General features: G+C 50.2%; 1 protein-coding gene across 23 annotated transcripts in view, besides 3 other annotated features; it reads right to left on the reverse strand.

Moving 5' to 3' along the window:
• Window positions 1–16880, reverse strand: part of MEGF11 (multiple EGF like domains 11) — a 358452-nt gene that overhangs the window by 84834 nt on the left and 256738 nt on the right. For all 23 annotated transcript variants that reach the window (NR_169555.1, NR_169554.1, NR_169558.1 and 20 more), the window contains 2 exons: window positions 2110–2356; window positions 646–766 (listed from right to left, as the gene is read on the reverse strand). Coding sequence is in view for 18 of the 23 variants with exons in the window: in NM_001385030.1 (NP_001371959.1) it covers window positions 646–766; window positions 2110–2356 (368 nt within the window). In the remaining 5 variants the exon portion in view is untranslated. The remainder of the gene's footprint in view (window positions 1–645; window positions 767–2109; window positions 2357–16880) is intronic.
• Window positions 178–678: an enhancer, noted in NCBI's record as "H3K4me1 hESC enhancer chr15:66272648-66273148 (GRCh37/hg19 assembly coordinates)". NCBI's record gives its function as "activates a minimal SCP1, AML or CMV promoter by ChIP-STARR-seq in naive H9 embryonic stem cells {active_cell/tissue: H9 hESC(naive)}" and the evidence as "EXISTENCE:reporter gene assay evidence [ECO:0000049][PMID:30033119]".
• Window positions 679–1179: an enhancer, noted in NCBI's record as "H3K4me1 hESC enhancer chr15:66273149-66273649 (GRCh37/hg19 assembly coordinates)". NCBI's record gives its function as "activates a minimal SCP1, AML or CMV promoter by ChIP-STARR-seq in naive H9 embryonic stem cells {active_cell/tissue: H9 hESC(naive)}" and the evidence as "EXISTENCE:reporter gene assay evidence [ECO:0000049][PMID:30033119]".
• Window positions 1970–2470: an enhancer, noted in NCBI's record as "H3K4me1 hESC enhancer chr15:66274440-66274940 (GRCh37/hg19 assembly coordinates)". NCBI's record gives its function as "activates a minimal SCP1, AML or CMV promoter by ChIP-STARR-seq in naive H9 embryonic stem cells {active_cell/tissue: H9 hESC(naive)}" and the evidence as "EXISTENCE:reporter gene assay evidence [ECO:0000049][PMID:30033119]".

Here is a 16880-nt window from a genome sequence, read left to right on the forward strand (position 1 = left end):
CCACCTCTGGCCCAGGGCCTGTGGCAGCTCATGTGGGTGCTCACACCCAAAGACAAAGCTAATCTTACAAGAAGAATTCAATTTCTTTGCACACGAGAGACCACAGGCTCAGAGAGGTGAGTAACTTGCTTCAGACCACACAGCACTTAGAGATGGCAGACCTGGGATTCAAAGCTGTGTCCATGGCACCACTGGCAGCGTTTAGTGATGCCCTATGGCGATAAATAGGAGGGAGGGTATTCAGAGTGGGAGAAGAATTCAGCTTTTTTTTTTTTTTTTTTTTTTTTGTGAGACAGAGTCTCACTCTGTTGCCCAGGCTGGAGTGCAGCAAATTGATCTTGGCTGTGACCTCTGCCCCCTGGTTCAAGTTATTCTTGTGCCTCAGCCTCCCGAGTAGCTGAGATTACAGACGTATGACACAACGCCTGGCTAATTTTTGTATTTTTAGTAGAGATGGGGTTTCGCCATGTTGGCCAGGCTGGTCTCAAACTCCTGACCTCAAGTGATCTGCGGGCCTCGGCCTCCCAAAGTGCTGGGATTACAGTCACGAGTACCATGCCCGGCTAGTTTAGCCTTTTAAGGTATGTGTGAGTGATGAAGGCTCAGCCCTCCAGTGCCCCACCCAGATCCTTTGGGCCCACTTACCGTCCAGCCTGGGGGGCAGGCACACTCGCCAGTGATGTGGTGGCAGGTGCCCCCATTCTGACAGGGGCAGCGCAGCTCACAGTGAGCTCCATGGCTCCCAGGAGGGCACAGCTCCTCGCAGCTGCATGGAGAAGCAGAGGTGTTAGACACAGCAGCATTCAGATCAGGTGGCAGGGCCCCAGTGCTCCAGGGTTCCCTAGGAATTCCTCCGCAGTTAATGGATCTGTATTAGGCACAGCATCCGCTGAACTGCAGTCCTGCTCCCTGCCAGGAGGGGGAAGCAAGGCTCAGACTGAATACATTGGAATGTAGGGTGCTTGGGCCAATACTTGTGGGATGACTTAAGTGTTCTTAGTGTACAGAAGAGTATTCTGGGGAGGAGGCTGAGGAAGGCTTCCCAAGGAGGAAGGCATTTTACTTGGGCCTTAAAGGTGAAGTTAATTTAACCAGGAGAATGGAAGGAAGGGCATGCCAGGCCAAAGTCATTGCATTAATGAAGGCACTGAGAAGTGCTCATGGATCCCATCTTTAAGAATCCACCTAGATTCAGAGAGGGGAAGAATCTGGAGCACGTTCCTTCCAGGCTCAGGAAGGCTCCCAGCTCCCATGACAGGCTCATTTGCAGGGACTGGGTGCTGTTGAAGGGTGGGGCAGGATTTGCATGGGGTCTTGGTCTTGGGCCTTCATCCAATGGCCCTGGCCTCTAGCTCACTAGGACTTGGGAGCTGGCCAGACATCGGGGTAGGGAACACCCTCAATCAACAACGTCTCTGTGGTCAGAGTCCTTGGCCACCCCTCAGGATCTAGGCTGTTGGAGAGGCCACAGAGTCTGCTACAGGGTTGGGAGGAGAACTTCAATCTTGCCTCTGAGGGGGTCTCAGCTAAGCAGTCTTGTAGGTCTCCTGTCAATACTACTCTCTGGGGAACTGGAATGAGGGGCTGTTTGGTGTCTGGGGAGAGAAAGTAGGGGAGAGGAACAGGCAGAGTAATCCTCCCAAATCTGTACATGGTATCTGCCTAGGACCCTCACCTCTCTCTGTCCCAAATGCCCTAGAAGGGAAGGCCCCAGGTGAGCAGCATCATTTGGGTAAGGTCAGAAGAGACTTTCAAGATAAGGGCTGTCTCTGCCAGGAAGGGCCTCCTGGGAGGGTTTTAGGGAGTGCCCACTCGGGCAGTCTCAGGAAGGACCAGTCAACGCGGTCCTGGAAGGAAGGAATCTGAGACCTGCGTGGGTGAGGCCTGGGCATTTAGACTCACAGGAGATTTCACAGCCAAGACTATCCCTCCTGGTCCCACCACCCAGCCCACCCACAAGGAGCCCAGGGCTGGGCGTGCAGCTGCGGTGAGGGCAGCCACTCCAGGCCCCGCCCCAGCCCCTCCACCTCCTCTACCCTCCCCACCCAGGCACCCTCCAGGTCCCGCCCCTCCAGGTCCCGCCCCTCCAGGTCCTGCCGCATGACTCACTAGACGCCGGTGTAGCCAGGTGCGCAGAGGCACTCGCCGGCGCGGGGGTCGCAGCTGGCACCGTGTCGGCACTGGCACGGCAGCTGGCATCCCTTGCCGTGGGTGCCAGGTGCGCAGAGCTCCTCGCAGCGCCATCCACGGAAGCCGGCGGCGCACACGCAGGCGCCTGTGATGGGGTTACACAGGGCGCCGTTCTGGCACTGGCACCGGTTGCTGCAGTGGGGCCCCCAGTGGTCGCTGTCGCAGCCTGCAAGAGACGGGACAGTCAGGGATCAGGAGCCCCGAAGGCTCTCCTTGGGGCAGGGGCCAGGAACCGATGCCCATGCGGCCTTCCCATCTTTGCAGCGCTGCTCCCCGGACAGGTGGCAGCAAGGGGTGCCTGGAAGCTTTGGTGCCTCATAACCTGCATCAGTTCTTCCACCAAGCCATGCAAATAGTCGCACAGGCTAAGAAGGGCAGAGCGTTTGTTTCCTCAAGGCAGCTTCAGAACCTACCTCCTGGTCCGGCCATTCTCTTCCAACCAAATGGCTGCCCTAAGCCCCCCTCTCCTGTATTGAAATTCCGGAGCCACAAGCTGTTTACATCCCTCTTTGCTAAGCTCTTGGTTGGCTGCCTGTTTCTGTTCCTTTCTGCCGGGCCCTTTCTTTTCCCATCTGCCACCCCTCTCCTCTGTGACCCTACCCCTCTCTTCTTGGGACCTGCGGGACCCAGCCCATTCCAGCTCCCATTTCTCTATCTTTCCTGCCCGCTTCTCCCTCTTCCCCACACGCATTGGTTTTCTCACCATTTGCATTTCACTCACTCTCTGGGAATATTTCCTCTAACTCCCTGCCCCTCCCCTGGCTCCATCTCCCTGTCACCCTTTTCATCTCTTCCTCATGCTTCTTCCTTTCAGTAATGCCTACGCCCCCTGGTTGCTTCAGCTTCAGTTCAGTTTCATTACTTTCCAAGCAGCCAGCTTCAGAAGGAGCAGGAAAAAGAAAGGCTTCCCTGGGAAGTAACAGGCAGCCTTCAAGATCTTTACATGTAATTAAATGTTTCAAAGAGAGATAGCTGAGCCAGTGTTGCAGAAATTCACACTCTACGGCTATGGAAAGGGGCTGAGTAGCAGAGCCCCAGAGAGGTCACCAAGCCTGCTGCCACCTCCCACTCTGACCCTCCCCGATGCATATGGGACACACAATAACAAGATGTCCTCAGTTATAGCCTCATTCGCTCAAATTCTGGGGTGAAAGTAGGGTGTGGAGTTCAGGCATGGACAGGCACACATAATGTTCTGGGAGAAGTTGGATGGAAAGAATGATTGCTCCCAGCTAAGGAGACCAGGCAAGGCTTCTTAAAACAGAAGCCATCTCAAGTGGGCTGTAAAGGATGTCTCACTTGTCTGGCTAATAGGGTGAGCAACCATCTTGCTTTCAGCACTGAAAGTTCCACATTCTGGGAAATCCCTCAGTCCTGGGCAAACTGGAGTGGCCGGTCACCGAGATTATCTGTTGCTGTTTGTGCTCCAGGTTTCTAGGGTTTAGACACTCAGAGAGGAAAGGGGGCAGGTGAGTGGGACTGGGAAGGTGTCACTGGGGTAGACTCAATATAAGCAAAGATACAGTGGCGTTCAAGTGTTGGGCGTGTACAAGGGTACAAGGTTCCAGTGTGGCCAGTAAGTGCATGTGATCTTTGGGGGCTGAAGGTTGGTGGAAGGATCAGCCCCACCAGTCCCCGACATGTCCCTCCTACCTGCTGACCAAGGTCAAGCGGTCAATGTCATGGAGCCTGCCTATCATCCTGTAGCAGACAGAATCACCAAGGCCTGGAACTCCCATTACCCTATCTTGGTTCATCCCTTCTTCATCTGTGCCCCAAGTATTCACACACACACAAACTGAACTGCCAAGTTATGAGTGAGTCTCACCCTATATTTTCCACCTGCTATTACAGTGAGTAAAGCAAAAATTAAATCCATTTATGCTACAGCCTCCACTCACATTGAAAAAGGCTCACAGAAGGCTGGACACCGTGGCTCATACCTGTAATCCTAGCACTTTGGGAGGCCAAGGTGGGTGGATTGCTTGAGCTCAAGAGTTCAAGAACAGCCTGGGCAACACGGTGAAACCTCATCTCTACTAAAATACAAAAAATTAGACTGGCGTGGCAGCATGCGCCTGTAGTCCCAGCTACTTGGGAGGCTGAGTCAAGAGAATTGCTTGAACCCGGGAGGCAGAGGTTGCAGTGAGCTGAGATTGCACCACTGCACTCTAGCCTGGGCGATAGAGCAAGACTCCGTGTCAAAAAAAAAAAAAAAAAAAAAAAAAGGCTCACAGGACAGAGAGTGACTGAGTATCCAGCAGTCCAGCACCTCCTACCTCATCCTCTCTTTGGGACACACACTCAGTGAGCAGAAGGACTAGCAGAATTATCTATGGTACCATTTCTCTTTTAGTTGCCAAGCACACGTAGTTGAATTCACATAGCTTATTGTCCATATGTTGTGACTATTATGATAATGACAACCACATTTTACTTATTTATTTATTTATTTATTTATTTTGAGACAGAGTCTCGCTCTATTAGGCAGGATGGAGTACAGTGGTGTGATCTCGGCTCACTGCAACCTCTGTCTCCCGGGTTCAAGCAATTCTCCTGCCTCAGCCTCCCGAGTAGCTGGGATTACAGGCGCCTGCCACCACGCCTGGCTAATTTTTGTATTTTTAGTAGAGATGGGGTTTCACCATGTTGGCCGGGTTGGTCTCAAACTCTTGACCTCAGGTGATCCACCTGCCTCAGTCTCCCAAAGTGCTGGGATTACAAGTGTGAGCCACCACGCCCGGCCAGACAGCCACATTTTAAAAGCTGCCTGTGTGCCAGGCACCATCCTAGAAGTGCTACATACATGACTAAAATTTAATCCTCACAACAACCATGTAAGTTAGGTTTTCTTATTTTCCCATTTGACGGAGAATACACGGTCAGAGAAGTTAAGTGATTACCTGAGGTTACAGCAAGAGCAAGCCCAGCTCTCCTGGTTCTAGCTCTCCCCACTGCAGGTCTTTGGGACACTTTCTGGAGGATGAGTCCAAGGAGTGAAGTTTAGAGGTGGCCTTGGGGACAAGGTGGCAGCCACGAAGCACAGATCAGGGATACCACAGAGACTAGCCACTTCTTCTCTGTTCGTCACTGTGAACCACCACAGGATCCAGCACAAGGAATTTCCTTCGTTTGTTGGGGCTGCAGTTACTGCCCTGAGACCTTGGTTCTGTATGAAACTGTTGGAGCCAAAAGGCAGTTTGTTCTCGGTGCATCGCAGGGCATACAGTTATGCTTTGCTTATCAAACAACCTCTGTTCTTTCTGGCACAGCCAAAACCCAGTAGGAAGCAAAACTAGCCGCCTGATAAGGAAGCCAGAATATTGTCATAAAGTCCACATGGTAACACTTGGGTGTTTTCATTCTTCTGCTTGTCCATTCAAAAACATTTACCAAGGACCTGCTACTGCCAGAAAGCACCCTGCCCTATTGGGGTGCACAGTCTAGTAGGGGCAGAAATGCTGGAGCAGCATTCATGGTACCCTACGAAAGTGCTCTAATAAGGGCAGCTCAGGGGATTATAGAAGGACATGTAAACACAATTCTATTAAGCCTGGCACTCTGCTTTCTCACAACACAGACTGGCATGTGAGTGTGTGTGTATATGCACATGTGTATGTTTGTGTCTGCATTTTTTTTTTTTTTTGAGACAGAGTTTTGTTCTTGTTGCCCAGGCTGGAGTGCAGTGGCACGATCTCAGCTCACTGCAACCTCCACTTCCCGGGTTCAAGCGATTCTCCTGCCTCAGCCTCCCGAGTAGCTGGGATCACAGGCACCCACCACCATGCCCAGCTAATTTTTCGTACTTTTAGTAGAGACAGGGTTTCATCATGTTGGCCAGGCTGGTCTCGAACTCCTGATCTCAGGTAATCTACCTGCCTCAGCCTCCCAAAGTGCTGAGATTGTGGCTCAGGACAATGTCTGCATGTTTTATGGGGCTCCTAAAAAGTATGTGAGCAAGAGCTCTGTGTCATAGTAAGAAACTATGGAAATAGGAAACATTTATAGATGAAAAAAAGCAAAGCAACTTGCAGCCATTAATATAGGGGCAAATAGCCTCTCATATCCAAATTGACAGGAAGAAGTGACATTCAATTTAGAATATTCTGATTAAGGAAGCAGAGAAGTGTGTAATTCATTCCAGAGAAATTTCCCACCAGAGTGATTAAACAAAAAAAAACAATGTTAGGGTTCACAGGGATAAGCTTCAGTTATCTAGAAAATTCACTTAAAACACCTCATTCTCCAGCAATGACAGAGAAATGAGGCAGAGCTGCAGCGAGTCAATTATCAACTCTGCTGAAGGTGACTAAAAACTACCATCATTATAATTACAAGAAGACTTTGCATTCTTTCACAGAGAATCGCAAACTCTTACCAATTTGGCCTTGGAATGTCACCCCTCACACATTTCTTTTTTTCTGTCCCAGGCTTTCCTTCCTAATTATATTGGGCTTTGGCTGATTTTTCCTTTTTTTTTTTTTTTTTTTTTGAGACAGAGTCTCAACTCTGTTGCCTAGGCTGGAGTGCAGTGGTGCAAACTCGGCTCACTGCAACCTCTGTCTCCTGGGTTCAAACAATTCTTGTGCTTCAGCCTCCTGAGTAGCTGGGATTACTGGCTGATTTTTTAAGTGGCTAGATTGTCTCTGGGCAGCTACTGGGGGCTGAAGGGCACCTGGAAGTGTGTGGCCCGGCTTGTTCTGTTCCTCGAGGCTGGGCAACTCACCCCCTTCCCCTGCTGACTGCTTCAGACTTTGGGGTCCAGGCTTAGTGTGCCCCTGGGTCCCCAAGAGGGCAAATGGCTTCACCACCGTCTTCTTCACCGACAGGCTTTTAAATTTGTAACTACAGTTGATCAGGCAGTTACTAATGCCAAGTCATGAGATAAAGGTGCAAAGTGAATTTTCTCATTTAATTCTCACAACAACCTATAATAATAGCACTTGCTGCAGATGGACACGGTATGCTGGCAGCCAGCCTGGGCTTAAACAGCCACCCTTGAAAATCCATAAAGAGGTGAGAGCAGAGACTGATTTTCCACAAGTGCCTTATTCAGGGACTGGTTTATGTGTGAATGGTGGGCGTAGGTCCTAGGTTTTCCACGACTGGCCCTATTTCCCAAAATTTTATTCTCTTAAGATTATCTATTGTTTACTCAGATTTTTTTTCTATTGTGGTAAAAGATATATAGCATACAAATTTCCATTTTAATCATTTTTAAGTGTGTAATTCAGTGGCATTAATTACATTCACAGTGTTGCACCAACTATCAGCACTATTTCCAAACTTTTCCATCACCCCAAATATAAAAACTCTGTAGCCATTAAGCAGTAACTCCCTAGTTCCTCCCCTACCACACTGGTAACCTTTAAGCTTCTTTCTTTCTATTTTATTATTTTTATTTTTTTGACAGAGTCTTACTCTGTCACCCAGGCTGGAGTGCAGTGGTGCGATCTTGGCTCACTGCAACCTCCACCTCCTGGGTTCAAAGGATTCTCCTGCCTCAGCCTCCTGAGTAGCTGGGATTATAGGCATGCGCCACCATGCCTGGCTAATTTTTGTATTTTTAGTACAGATGGGGTTTCACTGTGTTAGCCAGGATGGTTTCGATCTCCTGACCTCGTGATCTGCCCACCTTGGCCTCCCAAAGTGTTGGGATTACAGGCATGAGCCACAGTACCCGGTCTTTTTTTTTTTTTTTTTTTGATGGAGTCTCGCTCTGTCCCCCAGGCTGGAGTGCAGTGGTGCGATATCTGCTCACTGCAACTTCTGTGTCCCAGGTTCAAGTGATTCTTCTGCCTCAGCCACCTGAGTAGCTGGGACTACAGGCGTGCATCATTACACTCAGCTAATTTTCCTATTTTTTTGTAGGGATGGGATTTCACCATGTTGGCCAGGCTGGTCTTGAACTCCTGGGCTCATCGATCTACCTGCCTCGGCCTCCCAAAGTGCTGGGATTACAGACATGAGCCACTGCACCTGCCCTCTGTCTTTATGAATTTGCCTGTTTAGATATTTCTAGATTCTAAATGGAATCATACAATATCAGTCTTTTGTATCTGGCTTATTTCACTTTGCATAACATTTTCAAGGTTCATCCATGTTGTAGCCTGTATCAGGACTTCATTCCTTTTTATGACAGAATACTATTCAATTGTATGGACAGACTACATTTTGTTTATCCATTCGTCTGTTGATGACACTGAGTTGTTCCACCTTTTGGTTATTGTCTAGAAGACAACAGTGAACACTGGGATATAAGTATCTTTTAGAGTCCCTGAAGACAATTCATTAAAGGGACACAACTAAATATGTTTTGATGCCGTTATGGACTGTACTAGGAATAATAAATAATGCGGCCGACCATTACTTTTCTGCCTTCACTACTGTATAGGAAGGTTTAGGTGCCTGTGCCCAGTCTGCTGCATTAGCCCTGGAGTCTCTCTGGGCTGGAGGAAGACAGGAGCTAAGGTGTGTCCTTAGTTTGTGATTGCCCTTTACTTTCCCCACATCCACCATCTGGTCCCACCCTGCAGCCAGCTCAGCGGGGCACAAGAAGAGCTGTCAGCAGTGCTGTTGAAGGTGACTGGCCAGCCCTTCTCCCAGCTACCAAAGAACCCCCTCCCAGCTGCTTGTAGGATTCACTTCTTCAGACAGTGGTTCTTGGCCTGGCTGCAGATCAGCATCACTGGGGCAGTTTTAAGAAACACTCTTGCTTGAGATCTACCCATGGCCATTCCAAATGAATTGGTCTAGGGTGGTAGGGCCCAAGCATAGGTCCCTTGAAAAGCTCCCCAGGTGAGAACTCTTTTTTCCCATGATCTCTGTTCTCACTGGTCCTCTCAGGGAGATGTGCAGGAGGATGCTGGGCTGGAGGTGGGGTGGGAGAGAAGGTTAGTCCTTCCCATTCCATAGACAGGAATCCTGAGACCCAGCAAGCAGGAGGAGTTGGCCTCTGAATTGAAGGTCAAGGGATGGAAATGAACCTGGAAGCCACTGCCCCTGAGCTACCCCAGCTTGTACTAAGGACTGGGCCAAGGCCCCCACCTCCCTTCTCCTCTCCAGCAATGGGAAGGCCTGATGCAGTCACAGCCCCTCCCAGAAAGGTCTGTGGCCCCCAATCTTCCACCCCACCCACAGAAGCAGCAGCGAGAGCTGACAGGTCACGGGATTGCTCCTGAGTTTACAAAGCAGTAGGCAGGGAGGCAGAGATGGAGCAGCAGCCGCCGGAAACCATTCCAGCTGATAAATAAAGTGACTTCCCAGTGAGTGAGGCCATTTGTCAACTGACTTGCCCCAGTAAAAGCAAAGTCAAGTTCTCCGAGGCTGAGCCCCTTGCTCTTTCCAGGCCTAAGCTGCAATTCTGAGGGAGCACTGAAGGATGGGTCAGAGCCAATGCTGGGTACTCCTGGGCAGCCTCCTTCCCTCTTTGGGCCTCTGTTTTTACATCTGTAAAACAGGTTTGGATCAGTGGTTCTTGCCTGGAGTAGGTCACCCTCCCCAAGACAGCATCTGGAAATGGGAGGGGGGAATTTAGGTTGTCACAAATAATCCCAGGGACAATTGTACACAATTTAGAACTGTATCCTGGCTGTGTGCAATGGCTCGTACCTGTAATCCCAAAACTTTGGGAGGCCGAGGAAGGAGGATCACTGAGATTAGACACTTGAGACCAGCCTGGACAACACAGTGAGACCCTGTCTCTACCAAAAGCTAAAATTATCTACCAAAAGCTAAAATTATCCAGCTGTGGTGGTGCACACCTGTAGTCCCAGCTACTTGGGAGGCTGAGGTAAGAGGATCACTTGAGCCCAGGAGGTCGAGGCTGCAGTGAGCTATGACTGTACCACTGCTCTCCAGCTGTGCAACAGAGACTCTGTCTCTAAAAATAAGATAAATAAAATACAAATAAAAAATGCCAAAGATGTCCCCATTCAGAAATACTGGGCCAGATGCGGTGGCTCACACCTGTAATCCCAACACTTTGAAAGGCTGAGGCAGAAGGGTAGCTTGAGTCCAGGAGTTCAAGACCAGCCTGGGCAACGTGGCAAAACCCCATCTCTACAAAAATTATAAAAATTAGCTTGGTGTGGCGGCATGTGCCTGTAGTCCCAACTACTCAGGAGGCTGAGGTGGGAGAATTGCTTGGGCCTGAGAGGTCGGGCTGCAGTGAGCTGTGATGGCGCCACTGTACTCCAACCTTGGTAACATGGTGAGACCCTGTCCAAAAGCAAGCAAACAAGCAAGCAAGGGAAGAAAGGAAAGAAAGAAAGAAAAGAAAAGAAAAGAAAAAAAAGAAAAGAAAAAAAGAGAAAGGAAAAGAAAAAAGAAGGAAGGGAAGGGAAGAAAGGGAAGAAAGGAAGAAAGGAAGAGAAAGAAAGAAAGGAAGGAAGAAAGAAAGAAAGAAAGAAAGAAAAAGAAAGAAACAAACAAACACTGGTAGGTAAATGCTGGAGACTCTTCAAGTCCCAATGCTGTGTGATTCTCTGCCCTGTTGCCAAATGTCCCCACTTGAGAAACAGGCCAGAGGACACAGGGATAGGAGGTGTGTTTGTATGAAAAAGAAAAATTGGAGGTGGTTACCCGAGCTCTGAGCTGAGCTATCACTCAGTTTCCTATCTTTCTGCCACTTAGATTGTTGGAATTAAATATTAATAGACCAAGGTAGATTAAAACCCAAATCTCTTGACACAGTCCCTAAGCCTAGAAGATGCTGACAGCACAGGATTATAATGATGTATCATTAGCTCTTAGTGATCTATTTATTACACTTGTTACTCGGTGTTACTTAACCACACCGTCTATACCTCCCTTAAACCTCCAAGGGGAGGCTGGGATTCACAGAGGCTGCGGCTGCATATCCCACCCATCTCCTAGGGTAGCAGGGATGGAGGAGTGAGCACACGCACGTGGGGAAAACCCTAACCCCGAGAGCTTACCAGGGACCAGCTGCATTCTCCCATGGGTTGTTTCCTCTAATTTTCTTACTAATCCTGTGCCAGTTATTCATACCCTGCCTCATTCCAAAGAGGATCTGAGGTAAACCATGTGAGATGTGATTATGATTCCATTTTCCAATGAGAAAACTGAGGTTCAGAGGCATTAAATAACTAAATCAGGGCTTCTCAACCTCAGCACATTTTGGGCCAGAAAATTCTTTGCTATGGGGAACCATCCTGTGCATTGCAGGGCATTTAGTGGCATCCCTGGCCTCTACCCACGAGATGCCAGTAGTACCTCCCCGACACACATACACACAATTGTGGCAATCAAAAGTGCCTCCAGATATTGACAAACATCCCCTGGCAGTGGGTAACATCACCTGATTGTGAAAGGTGAAGTTGAGAGTCATATATTGGCTTTCTTTACTGCTAGGCTTTAGAAGTCATCTTGTGTACACTCCACATTTTACAGGTCAGGAAACTGGGCCAGAGAAGCTGAATGACTTGCCCGTGACCACACAGCTAACAAACTGGAGAGCTGCATTTGAAACTAGCTGACTGTATCCATCTAGGGCTCTTTGCCTCCCATCACACCAGCTATTACGAGATGAGAGGCTCAATGTCAAACAATTATCAAGCACCTATCATGTTAGGGGCTCAGAAGCCTGCAGTCAGTTTGAGAAACAGACAAGCAAATGGGAAACTGTCAGAACACGGGGTGATGAGAGGAGCTCTGGGCAAGCTGTCTGCTAAAACTGGGGAGGGTGCTCCACTGTCAGGCTAGAGACAAGGAGGCCCGGGAGCGGGCAGTGTCTCGGGCAGCAGGGCAGGAGGGGGAACAAAGGCCATGGGTACATTCAATGCCCTGAGCAAAGGCAGTTGCTCCAGCTCATTACCTTCCTCATCTCTATTGCCGTAGCTTCCACCACAGCTCCAGGCAGCCAGGTCCATTTCAACCAGGAGTATCACCATCAACATTTCAGGAGTGAGTGGGGAGATTCAGGAGCAGTTTTATCAGAGCCGGGCATCTCTCTGCAGATGGCTGAATTGAAACCAACACTGAGCCCCTGCTTGAAATATCACTGCACCTGCTTGGCACTGCACCATTAGGACCCCGTTCCTCAAGGGCTGCAGGAATCCCTATTAAAATGCAAACAACCCCGTTTGTGCCTCTGTGTGTGTGTGTGGGGGGGGGGGTTAGTCACATCCTGAGGCACTATCAGCCATTAATATCTCAGTTATCTCTTAATATCCAAGTGGCAATTAGCAGATCTGGAAGCCAGATTCAGCAGGGTATGTGTATGTTTATTGACCTGCTTTAGGAGAGAGGAGGTGGGAAGATGGGAAAGTCAAATTTATCAACTTCGGGGACTTTATCAGGGACTTTATCGGGGACTTTTTTTTTTTTTTTAAATCAGCATCTGCTCTGGATGTAGAATGCCACAGTATTGTGTGGACAGATAATGGGAAGGAACAGTAAGTGTGAGAGACTTTGCAGGTATGATCTTGTTCAATTTAAGCCACAACTGCTCAGGATAGCTATAGTTATCCCCCTTCACAGAGGAAGGAACCAAGGGCAGGTGTGGCCAGGTGGCTTGCCCACAACTTCACAGCGAGGGTGATCTCTGGCCTGTTTCTGAGATGAGGACATTGAGGACCCAGGAGGCACCGCAGAGCTGGAACATTGGAGTTCTTTTATACTTTGTTCAGAAGAAGGTATTGACACCCAGAGAGCCAGATCACCCATGAGAGGCAGGAGAGGAGCAAGACTCCCGGAACTCCTGCCAGGTCTCCAGACGGTGCTGATCACGGAGGCTGATGCCACCTACCTGCGCTCCCGGCAGGAGCACCCCGCACTGTCCTCCCTGCTGTTCTAGAGTCCAAGTCAGCACTCATGCACCACCCCCAACCTCTGTCCTGTGGCATTTATCCCAGCAGATAAAGGTACCTCAGTGACCCCAGCACTTTCACCTTATACCATACAGCAATGAGGTCTATGAGGCTCGGGGTGAGAGGCAAACTGCAGTGGGCTGTCCCACAGGGACCCAGGGACCCAGAAAGCTATCTGTCCTTAGCTCTGCTCAAAGCCCTCCCCTCCACCCACAGGCTTTTAATGAAGGCCCAGCTCCCAGCGGCCCAGCAGCTTCTGATCTGTTTGCATCACTGCCTTTGAAGCTTCCCAGCCCCAAAGACCATTTATCTCCACAATTTGCCTGGAAAGCCTCATAAATCATGTCTGTGCACAAAGGAATTACCTCTTTGGAAGAGCCTTTCAAAGGCAGCTGGCAGAGACACCGGGCTAGCCTTGTTGGTCCTGCACCCTCCCCGACGTGGCCCCCTCACTTGCCTTTTGGGGTCCCTGAGCAAGTCTCAGGCTGTGTGGGGGCGGGTAGGGGAGGGAGAGGGTAGGGATCAAGGGGAATTTGGTGATGCTTTCCCAGCCATGTAGGCTCTGAGGGAAATGAATTCACAGTCGGAGTGGGCAACGGCACTGGAAGTTGTGGGGTCCAAGCCCATTTCCTCTGAGGAGTGAACTCCAGACATGACCATTTCCCCATCATTCCCCTTCCCACCATGAGGTCTGGTCTGGAGGAGGGAGCCTCTCTCTATCTCTCTCACGGGCTGTGGGCAAGGCACCACCCTTCCAGACGTCAGTGTCCCCCTTGGCAAAAAACAGGATCAGGCCAGATGACTGTGTGCCAAGCTGTGCCCATGGAGTTCAGAGGAGTTCTCTGCCTGGAGCGGGGTTGGGCTGTGACAGGGGCCCCGGACCTCCCATTTCCAGGGCTCCAGAGCTGCTGTGTTTTCGACCTGGATCCTCACACAGGGACAAAGCACTAAGCAGCTAAAAGCGGGGAGGGTGTGCAAAAACCTAATTTCTGCCTTTAAACGTCTGTGTTTAATTCCTCTCACACTCAGAAAGTTCTTCCCTAGGTCTCACTGAGGAAGTTCTCACTGGAAGTTCTTTCTTTTCCATCACCCACTCACTGAGCAGCCACTTCAGGGCCTGGCACTGAGAAGGATGCTTGTGGGGAGGCAGTCAGACTGGTACTGTTCCTAAGGGACTTTCTGCCTGGTACTGTGGGCCACACCCCCACTAAGAATAAGCAGGAAGCAGAGACAGGAGCAGTGGAAGTGGAGGCTGTGCAGAGGCCCGGCTCCCTGGTGGGCCCACGGAGCATTTTGGAATGAAGGCCTGCCTCACCTGTTGCCCTATTCATGCTGGAGCTGGGGGCCTTTTTCACCGGGTGGGAAAGAGGAGTGAGAGAGGAGTTGTGTTGAAGCGACTCCAGCAGCTTATCTGTGGGTTCACAGGCACCAGGGAGAGGTGAAGCAAGTTAGGGTGATTTGGACCTGGGCAGCCGAGAGTCAGCCAGAAGGGGGCCGTGGGCCAGGGGCAGGAGGGACCTGGGATCTGCCCTCTGGGCTGTTCATCCTGGGAGTTGATGCTGCACCCCAAAGGCCTGGCAGGAGGCTGTTCCCACCAGCAGGTTCACTGGCTCTGCTGATCGTCCAGCAGCATTCACACCACCACTGTTTCAGCCAAAGGAATTCACAGTTGTGCCACCTTTCATTTTGGCAAAGGCAACATCTGGAGCCAACTGGTGCTCCTGGTGCTTGGAGTTGCTTTGGCCTAGGTCTACTAAGAACTGATTGGATGTAGGGTCCAGACTGGGTGGGGCTTAAGTGCAGCAGCTAGAGGTCACATGAGATGCTGAAGGCTGGGCTTGCTAGAGGTCAAAGTGCATTGGGAGCTTGGGTGTGGTGGGGAAGGGGTTAATCTACCTAGGATGGCCTTGTGTAATGAGTGGGATTTGATCTGGGATCTTGAAGGAGGAACGGGATTCTGATGGGTGGGAACACAAGGGAAGACAGTCTGAGTGGAGGGGCCGGTAAGAGCACAGGGAGGGGGCGTGCAGGGCTGGCAGGGCAGCCTGGAAAGGCGGGTACACAGCCTGGGTAGGCTGCAGAGGGCCTGGAAAGGCTAGACCACTACTTCCCAAACTCTCCATGGGGAAAGACCAAGTGTCTTGTTTTGTTTGTTTTCTAATCCATCATATGGTCCTCACTGAGCATGACTCCTGTGATGTTCATACCACCTGGGACTCATCATGAACATCTGACAACACCCAAGTTTGTCTATACTCTGCTCAATGAGAGGAACCCTCCAACCATGTGCGTGGCTGTGACAGCAATGTCAAAATTACCATAAAGGTTGCTAAACGTTTACTCTCAATTTCTTACTTATTTCATCATTGGCCAGTAACAGCCCCTAGACTGCATGTCTAGAGAGCACACTCTGAAGAGCACTGGGCTAGGCGCAGGTCAGAGGAGAGCTGAAGAGCCCATCAAGACAGGTTTGCAGGTGGTTTTACTCCAGCTAGGCAAGATTCCTGTCCTTTCTGTGTCCTTCAGGAAGTCCTGCAGATTCCCAGAGGCTGCTGTGCTACTTAAGGGATGAGGCACTTGGGGATGATAAATATAACCAAGGATGATATTCAAATGACTTCCTTACTGGCAGAGCAGGGTGCCCACCAGCTGCCTGGTGGGTTGGCGCCTGCTGGCTGTATTCAGGACGTCCAGGGCAGTGGCAGCAAACACACAATGCGCCCTACTATATGTGAAGCACTGTCTGAGTGCTTTACAAGTAGTATCTTACTGTACCCTTCCATCATCTCCATTTATAGATGAGCAAACTGAGGCACAGAGAGGTAAGGGACCTGCCTAAGGAGAGCATCCAGATGTCACCAGAGTCCTGGGGAAGCCTCCACCCTCCCTGCCTCTCACCCCATCTGGGAGCTGTGGACACTGGGGTCCTAGTCCAGGTCCCTCTGCTGACTTTCGGGGTGGCCTCAGGGAAGACACATCCCCTCTTTGGCGTTTAGTTTTTCCATTGTAAAATAAAGACACTAGCACTGGATGCTCCTTGACATGCCTTCCATCTCTCAGAGTCACCTGGGGAAATCCGTAGGGCAGGGATGAGAAGAGCACGTCCAAAGGGGGAAAGCAAATTGTGGGGTGCAAATGAGTGTTGGGCACCTCTGCTCACAGCTGCCATTGAATGATAGGCAGAAATAGAATTTCCAAACCAATACAGCAAATGAGCATTTGCCTCACTTTATGTAGCCCTTCTTCCAAGTTCTTGTGCAATGAACTTGCCCTTTAAATACTGTGGGAAACTTGCTATTTGAAATAGCCCTGTTTATCTCTAGCACACTTTTTTTTTTTTTTTTAATCTCAGATGGAGTCTCACTCTGTCGCCCAGGCTGGAGTGCAGTGGTGCGATCTTGACTCATTGCAACCTCTGCCTCCCGGGTTCAAGTGATTCTCCTGCTTCAGCCTCCTAAGTAGCTGGGATTACAGGCGTGAGCCATCACACCCAGCTAATTTTTGTATTTTTCGTAGAGACAGGGTTTCATCATGCTGACCAGGCTGGTCTCAAACTCCTAACCTCCAGTGATCTGCCCACCTCAGCCTCCCAGAGTGCTGGGATTACAGGCGTGAGGCACCATCTAGCATACTTTTGAGCTTCCACAGCACCTCTATGCTGACCAGAGCAAACACTGGCATTCCCACTGGTCAGATGGATAGCCTGGGGCCCAGAGAAGTAAAGCAGCTTGCCCAAGGCCATTGGTCTGGTGAGTTGGAGAGTTGAGACCCCAGGTCCACCCAGCATTCTCCATGGCGCCACTTCCCCAGTGGAGTCACTTCACATGGGCCCCACCTATCGGTGGGAAGCACGTCGCT

The sequence above is a fragment of the Homo sapiens genome, chromosome 15 (genome assembly GCF_000001405.40).
Source record: "Homo sapiens chromosome 15, GRCh38.p14 Primary Assembly".
NCBI classification, from domain to species: domain Eukaryota; kingdom Metazoa; phylum Chordata; class Mammalia; order Primates; family Hominidae; genus Homo; species Homo sapiens.